This window comes from Homo sapiens, chromosome 1, assembly GCF_000001405.40.
Source record: "Homo sapiens chromosome 1, GRCh38.p14 Primary Assembly".
Taxonomy (NCBI): Eukaryota; Metazoa; Chordata; class Mammalia; order Primates; family Hominidae; genus Homo; species Homo sapiens.
The window spans coordinates 175168477-175184538 of NC_000001.11; the positions used below are offsets into that span (position 1 = coordinate 175168477).

At 44.9% G+C, this 16062-nt stretch overlaps 1 protein-coding gene across 9 annotated transcripts in view; it reads right to left on the bottom strand.

The window, feature by feature from the left end:
• KIAA0040 overlaps nt 1-16062 on the bottom strand; it is a 36002-nt gene that overhangs the window by 11491 nt on the left and 8449 nt on the right. For 5 of the 9 annotated variants that reach the window (NM_001162894.2, XM_047435111.1, NM_001162893.2 and 2 more), the window contains one exon: nt 9135-9208. The exons of 3 other annotated variants lie outside the window; for them this stretch is intronic. The gene's annotated coding sequence lies outside the window, so the exon portion shown is untranslated. Of the gene's footprint in view, nt 1-7923; nt 7999-9134; nt 9209-16062 lie in introns of all 9 variants that reach the window. One more of the 9 variants, NM_001319231.2, reaches the window with a different exon arrangement.

Genomic DNA, 16062 nt, shown 5'->3' on the forward strand with positions numbered 1-16062 from the left:
TTATGGTTGCAATTTTGAACAAAAGCACAAATAGAGCATCAATAGAAAAATGATTAAGGCACCATGGTTATTTAATAAAATGATGCTTTATCATGTAAACATTCTGGATTAGAAGACTCCTGAAATGGGCCATCTGGTTGATTACCTTACTTTATTGATGGGAAATCTGGGACCAAAGAGACTGCATCTTGCGGGAGATCACCCAGCTGGTGACTAATAGAGCCAGGGCCAGAACCAATGTCTTCTGAGGCCCAGGTTACCCTCCTGCCAGGTCTCTTCCACAAACTCTTCCACAGTGCTTTGCAAGATGCCCACCATATTCTCTTTCTGAGCACGAGTGAGACCATACTTCTCAGCCCCTTACGTCTCTGTGGGGCTATGTGACTGAGTTCCAGCCAAGGAAACGTGGCTCCTGAAATCTTCTCCCGGGCCCTCCCTGTTCTCTCTCTGCTTGCTCATTGGCTGGCCAGATGCAGAGCATCCAGGGGAGGACTCCAAGAGCCCTGGGGATGGCAGAGATGGGAGGTGTTCCTGAATGACTGTGTGGAGCAGAGCACCCCTGCTGACCACAGTGAAAAATGAAATGAGTTAGAATAAACTTTTGTTGGGTGAAGCCACTGAGATTTGGGGATTTTCTGCTACAGCAGTTAGCCTATCCTGCCTAATACAAGTGACAAAAAAGCTAATGTTGGTAATGATTATTAATTACCATTGCATATATAATCCCTAGAATGATTTGCTTATAACAAATGTGCAATGTGTTCAACAACTCTCCTATAGGGCAGCTTTGGCCAAAGAGGGGTTTACCTTAGTGCTTTTGAGCAGTGGTTCGGGAACCAGATATCCTGGGTCTGAATTCTGGCTCTCCCACTCACTAGCTGTATCACATTGGGCAGGTTAACCTCTCTCTCTGGCGCTCTGTTTTCTCATTTGTAGAATGGCATGGATAATAACAGGATGTGAGAATGAAATGAGTCAGTAGAAGTAGAGTGCCTCAGAGCCTTGCCTAGCAATAAAAGTTAGTCCTGATTGTTTGATCCCAAACAAATAGGCTGGCCAAAGTAAACAGCCCTTGACTCCTTAGCTAATGATGGTTTTGTTTGTCTTTTTCAAATGTGAGATGGTTCTGGAGTCATGACTTTGATTATGTAGGTCTCCTTTACAAGGCATTTTCTCTTTTCTCTAGTTTTCCTGTGGTAGACTAAATTAGTTCATTCATCATTCTCTTTCAAAGCGACCATTTCAGAATGAAAATATGGATAAGCACCACTCAGGAGCTGAATCATAAGGGTTTAGATACACTTCCTTCCCCTCTCTGCAGGGCTCTCCCAAGATTGTGTGGAGTAGGACATAGAAGCCTCCTTCCTTCCTCACCCCGACGACAAACTGCCCTTTTGTCTTTTCCTACTTTCCCTTTTTTCCCTCCCTCAATGTATTTAATGAGCTCCTAGGATGTGTCAGTTCCGGTCCTGGCACCATGGGTATAGTCATGCATAAGACAGACATTTTGTTTGTGCACTTATTATCTCTCTTCTCCAGGTAGAAAGTATACATGTTAGTGCAATAAAGGAAATAATTGGAGTGGCCTCTGAAAAGGTGACTCTGAACTGAGATCTCGGGGTGCTAAGGACCAAGCGTGCACAGCGCTAAGGGCAGGACCTCCGGTAGCAGCAACATTAAGGGTGAGGGCTCTGAAGTGGGAAAGCGCATGGCACATCCATGAGAGAGGGCAGCCAAGTGTGGCTGGACCGTGGTGAGCATCGTAAGTAAAGCAGGGCTTGAGCTAGGGGCACTTGGGCCCTGTGGGTATGGAAAGGCACAGAAAGGTGCCTTCCCCTTTATCCCCATTGTTACCTCATTTGTCCAGGCCTTCAAATGGCCTCTAGTTTTTCCTTCTTTCAATTCGTCTTTCTAAAATCTGAATGTAACGCGCACTCCCTGCGCAACCCTCGCTTGGCTGCTCACCACCTGTATGATCACACCTCCTTAGCAAGGAGGACTGGCTGGTAATCCAACTCTCCTATTACCCCAGCCTCACCTTCCTCCACCACCCCCACCGCCCTAGCTGTTTATCACATAATAGGTGCTAATAAATATGGGACAAATAAATGAATTCCTTCAACACTCGGACTAAGCTTCTCTCCTGGGCTTTACCTCCCCACCCCTACCTCATCAGCTGGTCCTACCTGCTCTCTCTCTGACTATGTCCTGACTCCATCCACTTCCCACCATTTCCATGGCCAGGCCTTTGCTGTCTCTCACCTGGGTTACTGCAGCAGCTTCCTAACCAATCTCTCTGGTTCTGCTCCTCCCTCCCTCCGGCCTGTTCTCCCCACCAGAGCCAGATCATATCACCCCCAGGCCCTGCTCACGCCTCATGGCTTCCCGTCACTAGAAGTATGACATCTAAACTAGAAGTATGACATCTAAACTCTTTCTTACATCCCCAGGCCCTGCCATCGTCTGGCCCCTGCCTCCTTCTGGACCTTGTCTGGTACTCTCTTCTCTCCCATTCACTGTGGCCTAGCCGCGCCTACTACTGGACCGTCCACTCGCTCAGGACCCTATTTGTCCCTTTGCCTGGTATGGTTTTCCTCAGATCTTGGCGTGATTGCTTCACAACATTTGCGTCAGCTCAAATACATTTTCATACAAATTTCCTCCCGTGTTACCTTATCAGGAGGCCTTTTTCTAATGGAGTATGGTTATCTAATGTCGCCCAACCCCCAGCCAACCCCTATCTCACCATCCTGCCCTACTGGCTTGGTGATACTCCTCACTTTGAAATTTCTCAGTCACTTACAATGCTGCTGTCACGCTGGTTTCCACCTTTACTGCCTGTCTTCCTCCATTAGAACATAAGCTCCATGAGAGCAGGGCCCTGCCTGTCCTATTCTGTTTGGATGCCCAGAGTCTGGCATGTAGCTGAATGAATGAATGAATGAGTGAAGTTAATTCAAGGGTTCTAAAAAAATGAGATCTTGAATAATCATCTGTCAGGCAAACCAGGTCACTGGGGAGAAAGAGTAGAAGAACCAAAGGGCATAGAAAAGTGACCATCAGTCACACTGTGGCTGGACTTTAATGATAATTATCCACCCGCAGACTGCACTCTCCAGCCAGATCTTCCAGCCACGAAAACTCACTGGAGGGAGAAATAATGATCAAGAAAACCGCCTATCACTGAGAGCAATAGAAAGTGGGGGCAGGGGTGAGTGTTTTATCAGCTCCTAAATAATCACCTACCTTCCTTTTGCTCAGTTACAAAGAGCCCATTGTAGCTGGGACTTTCTGATAACAAGGGATTCTTTCCTAATTACTATATGCTCTATTTCAGGTTCAGCAGAAAAGAAAATTAAAAAGCTCCATTTCACTGTGGGTTCAAATGAGTCAATCTTTCAGTCAATCAAGTATTAATTAAGACGTGCTAGGAAATATGGGGGAGGTAAAAGACATCCTCTCTTGTCTCAAGGATGATACCAGGGAAATAATTAGAGAATGATTTAAGAACAATGAAAAGAATTTTAAAAAGCCTTCATGTGGACTTTCTTTGATTTTCTATTATGGAAGGTCTGGAATCTCCAGTTCCTTTATTCTTCTTTACTCTTTTCCCTTTCTTCTTTCCTTCCTTTTCTCTCTTTTCATCCCTAATTATCTTTTCTCCAGAGGGTCCAGACTATACACTCTAAGAATAGTTAGTTCTCCTCATGTTACCCTCAGGATTAATCATGAGAAATTATGTCTGATTCCCTGAAAATTCCAGCTGTACTAAATGTGAGTGAATACAATTTCTCCAGTCTGTTAGCAAGTCAACTTCCTCATATTTACCTCCTCAAGGTCAAGGAAATTTCCTAATTTTTCTTCTTATATGCCAGAAAACTTGTAGCCAAGAATTTTGCCAGCCTGGGCAACATAGCAAGATCCTATCTCTACAAAAATAAAAATTAAAAAAATTAGCCAAGTGTGGTAGCACATGCCTGTAGTTCCAGCTACTCAGGAGGCTGAGGCAGGAGGATTGCTTGAGCCCGGGAGTTTGAGGTTACAGTGACTGCACCACTGCACTCCAGTCCAGGTGACAGGGTGAGACTTTGTCTCTAAAATAAAAAACAAACAAAAAAACCTGTCTCCACCACTAACATGGTGTGGGGTTTGGGGAACATTCACTTAAGTGCTTTTTCCATTTATTCTTCTGTAAACAAAGATATTGCCATCTTTCTCAGAGGGCTAGGTGTTTTATTCACTGCGTTACATCATTTTACTCTCAGTATCTGGCACAGGGCCTGGTAGAAAGTGGACTGGCAGTAAGTACTTGCTGAATGGATGAATGAATTAATGCATCGCTGGGCAGAGTAAATGAGATAATGTGTGTGAAGCATGTTGTGTAAGTATATTTCACACAGTGGGTGCCTTAAAATTGCCTTGCCAACTGTAAAGCACTATATTTATTATTATACTATTCACATTGTGTGAAAGGTGAAAACATCCATTTGTGAAATAATTATTTTGCTCTAATTAGAGTTTGATCAGCTTTTCACTGAATTGGTGTAGAAAGTGAGTTAACCAGCCCCTAGTGAATCAGGGCAGCCACCTTAGCCTCTCCCCTGCCTTCCTGCTAACTTTATTTCCATTCACTCCCAGGTGCTTCTCCCTCTCTCGGCCCTCCTGACCTCCAGGATCGCATTTCTTAGGGGAGCCTTGTGTTGTCCATCACTATCAATTTTCTCCTCTTCACTTCAGCTAGAATGCTCATTTGTTTTCTTTTGACAGTCCTCTTTTGATTTAGATACTTCAGGAGGCCAAAATCTCAAAACAGAGGGTTGGCAAAAGTCTTATCACCTTTCACAGGAACAAGGAATGATCTGTTGAATCAAAAAGCCATCATTTGCTGAGTTCTTACTAAGTGTGCAACTCTGTGTGTGGAATCAAGGGTTTACAGACATGGTCTCATTCAACAACTCAAGAGATAGGCTTTTTTTCTATGCCCATCCTACAGATGAGGAAACTGAGGCTATGAGAGATTTAAGTGATTCGCCCAAAGACATGGAGCTACTCAAGCGCAGAAAGACGTTTGACTCTAGTCCTCTCTGAGTCCAGAGATCCTACTGTAACCACCATTCTCAGAATGCTGAGGACTTTAATTTCTGGATCTTCTAAGATGATGGGGTGTTCATCCAACTATTCATCTATCAACATGTAAAAGCCTGCCACGTGCGTCACACCCTGTGGGTGCACTCTTGATTACGATGCCTTCTGTGACCTCAAGGAGCTCATGTTTTAATAGGACCAAACACGTTGAAGAGAAGTGCAATACAGCATCACTGATAACATGTATAACTCCATATATGCTGGGGCCCCAAGGCATGAAACTCACTGGCAGTCTGGGAGCTATGTCCAACCCACAGGCACTTTTACTTTGTATTATTTTTCTGCTTCCTTTGGTTTCGTATCAAATTCTCAATCTTCAGCTAGTCCTAAGATTTGGCCACACTAACCTCCCACATGGCCACAATCTGCTGGAGCTTTAAAAGGGCCTGTGTTCTCCCCATTCCCCGACCCCACACCCCAGTCCCCATCCTGCCTGCTTCACCCAGTCCTGTTCACCCACCTGGTCCCTGGAAGCATTTTAAGCTCACCTCCCCTGGATTATAAACTCACTCAGGAGTAGGAACTATGGTACATGTTCTCTGTGCTGTCATCTATGTAGAGAAGAGCCATGCAGGGGGCTTAAAAAATATAAATGAGGACAAAAGGCAAGCCTCACATAGCAGCTTTAACCTCCAGTTTGATGGACTGATCCTGATCTGTGGTTAATCAGACAAATGATAAGGATGAGGGATGTTTGCAAGAGGAATTAATGCATATCAAAATGCCCCTGGGCACAATACAAACAGCTGGCCCAAGGGTGCAATTAAGCAAGGAGTCAGAGGACCCTCTCCTAGTCCCAGTTCAGTTGTCCTCCAGGCCTTTGACCTTGGGCAAAATCAGTTAAGCTTTCTGAGCCCTTTCCTCATCTGAGAAATGAGGTTATTACTCATCCTGGATATCTCTCAAGATTACTGTGAAGAACAGACAAGACATGTGGAAGAACACTGAGCAGGGAAAATTGCAATCTCAATGCAAAGTAGTGGTATTTTAGGGGATTATATTAAAAGGCTGAATTAAAGCTCAAAGTAGAACACTGAGCTTCTCTTACTGATGCAGTCCTCCACCCTCCTATCCCCCGCCTTTCCCCTAGTCTGTGGTTATTAGGAGCTACATTTCCAAAGTGGAGAATTCATAGGGGAACTCTAATACCACTTACACTTCTATTCGTCATCTGTATATACATATATATATATATATACACATACATACATGATCTGACCACATCCTGGTATTAGTGCTAATAAAACCTGTAGCCATGGTTACAGTGAACTATCTTGGTTATATAGTTCTCATTTTCACTTTTCAAAATAGTTTGGTAAAGGATTTTGGAGCCAATGTTTGTGGGTGTGGTAAAGTGTTTAGGTGAAGTTTTGTTTTTGGAGAGCCAGAAGCCGAGGCTCTGAGGTCATCTGTGAGTTAGGAGCGGTTGAGTGGGGCGTTGCCTTTTCTGTTCCACAAATAAAGGGAAACCTCTGCTTCTGGCCGACTCCAATAACTGATGCTTAAGTGTTCAAATGTCATATCCTCTTGGAGGGAAAAAATGTTTTTTGAAAAAGCATGAGAACGACCAAACACTTGTGTCATTCAGGGTCTCCCACACAGGTAGTAATTAAAAGTTGCATAATTCTATGCAGCCAACAGACACATGAAAAAATGCTCATCATCACTGGCCATCAGAGAAATGCAAATCAAAACCACAATGAGATACCATCTCACACCAGTTAGAATGGCAATCATTAAAAAGTCAGGAAACAACAGGTGCTGGAGAGGATGTGGAGAAATAGGAACACTTTTACACTGTTGGTGGGACTGTAAACTAGTTCAACCATTGTGGAAGTCAGTGTGGCGATTCCTCAGGGATCTAGAACTAGAAATACCATTTGACCCAGCCATCCCATTACTGGGTATATACCGAAAGGATTATAAATCATGCTGCTATAAAGACACATGCACATGTATGTTCATTGTGGCACTATTCACAATAGCAAAGACTTGGAACTAACCCAAATGTCCATCAATGATAGACTAGATTAAGAAAATGTGGCACATATATACCATGGAATACTATGCAGCCATAAAAAAGGATGAGTTCATGTCCTTTACAGGGACATGGATGAAGCTGGAAACCATCATTCTCAGCAGACTATTGCAAGGACAAAAAACCAAACACCTCATGTTCTCACTCATAGGTGGGAATTGAACAATGAGAACACTTGGACACAGGAAGGGGAACATCACACACTGGGGCCCATCGTGGGGTCAGGGGAGGGGGAAGGGATAGCATTAGGAGATATACTTAATGTAATGACGAGTTAATGGGTGCAGCACATCAACATGGCACATGTATACATATGTAACAAACCTGCACGTTGTGCACATGTACCCTAGAACTTAAAGTATAATAAAAAATAAAAATAAAAAAATAAAACTTGCATAATTCTCTTTAATACTAGAGACAGGAACTTAAGAGTTCTGCAAACTTTGGGGCAATAACAGAATGACTGACATATTTCTTTTTGTTAGTGGTGGTGGGGGAGACATTTACAGGCTGGAATAGCTGAAAACTAATGAAGTGGCAAAAATGTAAATTATGCAACTCAAAAGTGATACAGATATGGTTCTATTTTCCTTTCCATTTTGTCCTTTCATTTAATGTTAACAAAATTTCGGGGCAATTAAAAGCCAAAAGCTACCTTACTGCAATATTAAGTCTTAAAATGCAAAGATCAAATCATAGAGGGAGTGAGCATAAATATTCTCATTCCAATAATAACTCACCTCTGTGGAATGTTCAGTGTGGTGGACTTCAGATTTGCCAGGCTTTGGATGGCAGCTTCCACCCCAGAGGGCAGTCTGTGCAGAGGAGTTCATATGTCTGAGGATAAACCTTTACTTCCTTTCTGCATGGGCTTAAATCTGCATTCCTAATGTTGCAGGGAGTGTTTTTTTATGGTTTTGATAAATAATGGTTGATGAATGCAGAGAACATATATGAGTGAGCTAAAATACTTATTGAGTACACATCCAGTGTCAGGTTAAGTAGCATGCTTTTTTTTTTTTTTTTTTTTTTTTTTTTTTTGCTTCAGCACCTTCTTTCTTTGATATAGATGACATATGCTTAGCCTCATCATGTGCAGTTTTAGTTGCCTCCATGCAGATATTCTTGTCCCTAGGAATAGCCGTCATCTCTTCCCTGATGCCCTCAGCATGCCCAAACATTTTCCTCCCCATCCTTGAAATGCCCTTCCCAAAAGAGATGGCAAGTATTGCAAATTCCTGAATCGGGAGTATGTATGGAAGAAACTGCTTAAGCTGGGGATTGCAGGGGGGTATCCCATATTCACCCCCCTCGACACAGGGTTCCCTTAGCCTCATCCCCTCATTCTTTCCCATCCACCACCTCTGCTCCATCCATGCCTGGAGACCTCAAGGCTTTGTGGGAGACCCTCTGGAAAGCACTTAAGGCCACTGGGAGGTAGGGGGGATGGTGGGAGAGGCCAGGGAACTCAGCCCTTGTCTCTGGGCTCTCCATGATGTGGCCTCAGGGCTGAGCTGTCTGCAGGCCGACCACCAGACTTTAGGCTTTATCTCCCATTAGCAGCCCAGATACATTTTTTATCAGACCAACCCTCAAAGTATCAGGGTCTTGAAGAAATAACACATTAGGTGGGAATGCTTTGATAGAGCAAGACATTCTGAATGTTAGACCCTGCCCATGACAGTTAGAAGGCAGAAGATGCCATAGGGATGGCAGTTGGCCTAGAGCAGCCAGAGAAGAAAGTAGATGTCCTTGAAGTGCCTAATAGGGGTAGGCAGATTCTTCTCAAGAATCTGTGGGGCCTAGGCCCCCTGTTCTGGCTTTGACTTTTACCTGATTTTACTTATTTACATTCTCATAACTTGCCCTAGGAGCCAAATTCTTGGCTAAAGGGTAGTTTGAGTGCAGAGGAAGCTAATAGATTGAGGAATGAGAAGAAGTTACAACTCACTCAGTGTGTGTCCTTGGGAAGGTCACTCAGCTGCTTTGAGTCTCAGTTTCTTCATCTCCAAAATGGGGAACAATCTAGAAGAATACACAAGAAAATGATAGCATGTACTGCCCCTTTGGAGGGAAATTGGGGGCAGTGCAGGAAGGGAGACTGGCTTTTCTCTCATTCCTTTGGTACCATTCTGAATGACTGATCACATGCATACACTTTCTAAATTAAACCAACAACTGGAAGTGAGTACCTGCTCACAGGGTCCTTAGGTAAAAGCACATAGTGAATGTAATGTGTGTCTGGGCTGTTAGGAACTGTACAAATATTTAGAGTCATAATTGGTATTATTCCCAGCAGTTGCAGGGATGTGGCAAAAAACAAAAGTCACTCCTCAATTCTGCCTGGTAGTCAAAGTGGCCTGAAATTCTTGGGAAATTTGCTCCAATGTTGGGAGGTCTTCCTGCCTCCAACCCAGAATGGCTGGATGGAGACCACTCCTAAATCCCCTCTACAACCAGGCCAGCCCCTTCACCTACTTGTGTAGTGGAGCTGAGGCTGCTGCTGGGTAACTTGAATCCTCCATGTGTACAAATGACCCCAGGTTTCCAAGGGCTAGCGGGCCATGTCCACTCTGCTGAGCAAGTTCTGACAAGCACATTCCATCCACTGCCAGGAGGCAGGGGGGCAGCACCTTCAGTGTGAGCAGAAGGAATGGTACCTACATTTGTGGCTGCCTTTTCTTGGCCTCTGGGGCTGGGAAGAGCTTTGTATAAAATGTGTGTGAGTCTCCCTTAGTTGTTTACTGAGTCCCTATAATAAAAATAATGCTGCAAACATATTGTTCTTTATACATGAAGAGGCCAATAGCACTAATAACAATTGTTTGCATCAATAAAATATGCCATTTGAAGGATTTTTCCTGTAGTTGCATGTGGATTTCATGTCAAGAAGCATTAGTTAAGTATTTACTATGTAACCGACATAGTGCTGGAGGGGAAAAAGAAGTGTACCAACTGGTTCTTATCCTAAAAGAGTTTCTTCACGAACCTTAGAGCACTGAAGTCCTGCTCTGCTTAGCCAAGTGGCAGGGCAAGTCACAGAGCTTCATGAGCCTCAGGATCCTGGTCTCTAAGACGGGAAGACAATGATGATAACATCAACTGCCCTCACCATTCAGTGTGGTTGTGAAAGTCAAATACTAATATATATGAGAGTTCTTTGTAAACTGAAAATGTCCTGCAAAGTTGAATTTTCAAAAATAATAGTAATTAAATGCTAAACTGAAAACCAGAAAGTGACAAAATGCAGGTACTATTAGAAAGGAGAGAGATCAATGCTGGTTATGTTTTATCAGAGTGGGGGACGGGGCGGGGGGGGGGATATCATGGAGGAGATAGAGGCTGTGCCAGCTCCTGGGCTGTGTGTGATTACATGGAGGGCTGGACATTCTGGTGGGGAAAAGGGCAAGTTGGGGTGAGCTACATAGGTTGGAAAAGCCAGAGCAGAGGTACAGAGGCCAACAGGTACAGAGTTCGAGATGGGTATGGCAGCGAAGAAGGCTTCTAAGGAAGAGTGGGAACTGAGGTGGCACAGGAAAGATTAGTGAGATCACAGGGGGCTTTGAAAGCCTAACATGGGGTTGGTGTAACAGCCTCAAGGAGGCCCTGAAAGTTGTGAGCAGAGGAGACCTGACAGCCTCACTCTTTCAGTGGCCACATTCTTTTACCTGATCTTGCTTGTGATGGAAAGTACACCCTACCAGAGCTCGGGATTACGCAGGATTAAGCTCCCACCCATGGGCTCACTGGTAATCTGCCCCAACCGGTCAGGCAGAGCAATCACAGATACCACAATTAAAAAAACTTTTATTAATAGCATCCGTTCTCCCTTAGACAAAAATCTAATTATAAACTGAAATGAAATATCACCAAACCAATCAGAAAGAAATGGCTATTTATCTCTTGATCCCTTGGGAATAGGGGGTGAGGGATAAAAACAGGATGCAATCAGTTCTCCCTCCTTCGAACTGGCACCCAGATGGGCTTGGGTTTATTTATGATTGGTGAAAGTCCAATGAATATCCTACACTTACAACTCAGTTTAGTTTTTTAAAGGCTTCTGAAAACATTTCTTCCTTCAATCTACTGTAATTTGTAGAGGGGAGGGATTTCTTGCCCTATTTCACAGATGAATAATCTTTTCATAGTAAAAGTTTGTTCCAAATTTGTTCAAAATTGTAAAGCTGGTTAGTGGCCAATGGCACACAGGGCTCTAGTTTTCCACTTCCCCAGTGAGATGCTTTCTGCGCTAAAGTTACTCCTAAAATGCAACAATGAGGGCAGCAAGCAGTGGCAACCAATCCCCTTCGCAGTTTACAAAGCCTCCCATTTCTCAAACTCTGTGAGGTATGGGGTTCCCCTCCAGCTTTGGATCCTTATACAACTGTAGCTCTCTCTCACCCCACCCCCATCCACTGCTCCCTACCCCATCTCCTGGCCTCTATTCAACATTGTTGCCCTGGGGAAACCTTCCTTGACCTCATTACAGGTCAGAGCCCCTGCTCTGTGCCCTTCACCATACCTACATTGTCACCACAACCCATAATCTGCAGTAGGGTAATTGTTTAATCATTGTTCTTCCTTTCTAGATGGAATCTATTCCCATCATGGCATCCTCTGCATCTGGGACATATTTTGCCCTTGGGAAATATGTGCTGAATTAACAAATGAACATGTTTATAGATGAAGAAGCTCTGAGGCTCACTGAAATTAAATGACTCATCTAAGGTCTCATACCTAATAAAAGATCATGTGCCAATTCCTCTATCTCTAAATAGCCAGTTTTCCTTCTGCTCTGCCACACTACTTTAGGTTCACACAGATCATGTTGGTCAGCTGGAAAGAGATATCCAGGAAAATAAAGTCTGCCAGTTGAAATGTCAATATTTTGGGTTTGGAGAGCTCTTTCAGCTTGGGCAGTATGCTCAAATACCAGGTATTCTTGGGTGCTCCTGAGTAGATCTCTTTTGGAGACTGGCTACTTTTTAATCTCCAGTGAGGCTGTCAGGACTAAGAAACAGAGATGAGAGCAGCTGAGGCTCGACTTCCAAGGAACACCAGTCTCAAATGGACATCAAGCTTTGTTTTCATGGGGTGCCATGTTGAATATCAAGATTACATCACTTGGAAGTGAGACTACCCTTGTTGGAAAGCCCTGATTGGCTGTGTTTCTGACTTCTTGGTGTTCTTGATTTTTAATTTTTAAAAAATATACAGGGTCTCACTCTGTCACCCAGGCTAGTGTGCAGTGGCACAATCACTGTAACCTTGATTTCTTGGGCGCAGGCAATCCTCCTGCCTCAGCTTCCCAAATAGCTGGGACTACAGGCATGCACCACCACATCTGCCTAATTTATTATTATTATTACTTTAGTAGAGACAGGGTCTTCCTATGTTGCCCAGGCTGGTCTTGAACTCCTGGCCTGAAGTTATCCTCCTGCCTCAGCTTCCCAAAGTGCTGAGAGTACAGGCATGAGACACTGTGCTTGGCCTCTTTGTGCTCTTCAATTGATATGATTTTATTTGGTAACTTCTGCCTGCAAAGTCAACTGAGTAGAGTATGTGTGTATTTGTGGGGGGCGGGGGGCTGGCTCACTACCTCACTGCTATTACTGTAAAAAGACCTCCCTGCTTTTTTCTGGAGGGAGGAACTTCCTTTGCTGGCTTTTTCTTCCTTCACTGATTCTGGGTTGTTGACACCATTGTGGCCAAGGAAGCCAGGAACTTCCATTTCCATTCTCTGCTGTACAGCAGCAAATTATTCAATTCAACTCACATTTGTTGAGTACCTACTATGTGCATGAAGAACTTCTCTCTCTTCTAACGCTTTCCCAGATAATGCTGCCTAGTGAGAAGTAGAAAACTTGCCAGCTATCTGGGTAAGGAAATCAAAATTGAACTTTTCTTCTTTTGATAGACACTTTAGGAATAAAGTCAAGGAATTTACTTTTTTGTTGTTGGGGAACTGGACAAGCACAGGCGAAGTACCATAAGGCATGATTAGTTCAGTGTCCCAAGGGAAATTCAAACAAATGCTTATGGAAGTAGCAAGGAGGGAGACGTTAATTCCAGTGAGGAATCCAGGGCAGACTTCGATGAGGGTGTGATTTGAGTTGGCACCTGCAAGGTGCATAGAATGTTTAAAGGCAGCAGGGACGGGAAAGAAAGGTGATTCCAGGCTGCTCAAGAAACCCAGCTGGCTCAGAGAAAGAATCCAGTCAAAGTGGCCCGTGCTCCAACTCAGCTCTAGAGGCCTCCAACCTCCCGATGTTAAGGCTTCAACACTAAAACAGCTTGCTCCACCCGACCCCCTCTCCCAGGGCCTTCTTGCAGCCACTGCTTTAATTGCCATGGCATTCCAGGGACCACTCCAGCCCCTGATGGGGATTTTTCAAGGTTCTGGCCGTAGGAGGAGGCTGCTCCTGATGTTCTCTCCCTCCATACATCATAACATGTTATGACTTGAGTGTCCGGGGATAGGGCCATAGGCAGGAGTGACTGATGACATATTGGGCTTAAGGACATTGGGGGCTACAATTTCAAATTGTTTTCACATTTGACTATGAAGGCAGATTACTGTGTTAAGGGAACTTGAGTGTATAGTGAATTTTCTGCCTCCTCCCTGTCCCTCACCCTCACCCCAACTACATTTTATCTCTTTGTGCAGCATATCCTTACATTTGATGATAATTCTGACTTCAAACTGGGTGTCACAAGGCCCTGGGTAACCAAAGCCAGTTCCACCTGGCTCACGTTCAAAGGGATCCCTCTTTCCCTGCCCCCTCACCCACAATCAGCCTGCCAACATTTAGCACAAAGTTTGTGGAAACCAAATGACATTCTATCCTAAGAGTCAAGCCTAGATCGGTCCGTGGTCAGAGGCTGCACAGTGGAAGCCCAGGAGGCAGCTGCCACCAGAGAGTGGATTGTGTTTGATCTGCAGCTTTCAGTCTACGCTCTCACCCAGCTTGTGTGACCCTCTCAGATGGACCAGCCTGGGTCAAAGCCTGGTCCCACCACACACTGGCTTCTGAATATGGAAAGTCCCCTTCCCTCTCTGTGCCTTAGTTTCCTCAACTATAAAAGGGGGATAAGAATAGAACCTCTGTCGTAGGATTATTGTGGGAACCAGATGAGTTAAATACTCTGTGTGATGTGGGTGAAACAGTGCCTGGCACAGAGCACATCTTCAGTGCATGTTGGCTTCACCTGTCAGGCACCCTGTAGGCATCTGAGCTTGTGACCTCTGCTGGGGCCCAATGCTGAGGAGCTCGAGTATGCAAAAGGGAAGACAGTGATGAATCCTGTGTGCATGATGGAAAGACGCCACTGTTCCATTATTTCAGAGCAAGTGAGGAATGCTCAGGCCTGTAAAACTGACGCAAAGCGCCCTCTAAATAGGTGGGAAAAGGAGGATTTGTTAGCCCAGGGGCCATTTTCTGGAATCATCTGTAGCGCGGAGATATCATAGTTGAAAATTTCTTTCCTTCTCTACCACCTCACCTCCCTGACAATGCTTGCTCACTGATAGTACAGAGGCTGCTCCTGTCTGCTTTCCCACTTGACATTAAGCTATTACAGAGCTTTCTCCTCTGGGTATCCCCAGGGTCTGGTTCAGTGCTGGCACATATTAGATGTACAATAAATGCTTTTTGATTAAGTAATTGACTGGTTATGATCTGGGGAGATGAGAAAGAACCAGAGTGAAGAGTATCTCTGTGAGGGCTATGCTATGTCCATGGGCCAGGAAGCCCACATTCACTTCTGGCACCCCAAGCTCTCATACTTATGCAAGCTTCTTGTAGGCCCCTGCAGAGCCAGGTGATGGGTTGGGATAGCAGGGTAGGTCTCCAGCAGGGTGAGGGGACCAGGACCCGGGCCTGGGCAGAGCAGGAAGGCCTTGCAATGGGCTGAGCTTTCACAATTGGGGTTGCAGCTCAAAGCAGCAGCTTATGGCTCAGGTAAGTTGGTCGGACATCTGGGGAGCCAGCCGAACAAGGGTGAAGCAGGACTCAGGGATTCCAGAATGGCACAGCCACAGCCTGAGCAGTGGGTGAAGAGATGGCCGCACTAGCGAGCAGAGATCCCAGCACAGACTAATCCCAGGAATGGGCTTTTCTCACAGCTCTCAATGAGAGGGGCGGGGCTTGCAGCTAGGTGCTTGCAGGCTCCTGGGTGGTAGGTGGTAGGTCCTTGAGGGTGGAATCTGTGCCTGCATATTGTTTTGTTTTTGGAAAATTCCCCAAAGCCTCTAGTGTAGTGTCAGGTACACATAGAAGAGCTTGAGAACTGTGTATGGAAAAAAATGGAAGCAGCCAGAGTCATGTCCGGGCAGCTTCTGCCATGTAAAGCAAAGCCGCCAGGCCTCCTAGGAGTCCTCAAAATTCTCTTTATGCAAAGAGGAGTTGCAGATGACTGACCGAAAGTAAGTGATACACCCTGACAGTGCCTGGGAGACAGGAGTGAGAATTACCAACTGGAGAGAGTCTAGACCTTCCATGAAGCTACTGCTTCTTGTACCTGCCAACTGAGATGAATTGGCAAAGATACTGTATAGCCATACGCTAGGAGTCTTTGAAGCAATAACAAACCTTAACTGAAATGAGAAATCAGAGTTTAGGAAAGAGATTTCCCAGTTCATTTCTTCTCTGGGGTCTCACGTCACATTACAGGGTCTCCTCCCTGGGCATTGGCCGACCTCACACGGTGCCACTGGAAGGCCTCCTGCCCCACTCCCTACCCTTCTTCTCCCTCTTCCCTTGTCTTCTTCTCACATACACAGTGTCTGTTCAGAGACAGAGGACAGCCAAAGCCATTGGAGGCCTTTTCTCATCTCCTTTCCCCATCCCAGGGCACAACTGTTTTGAGAAAGTCTATGA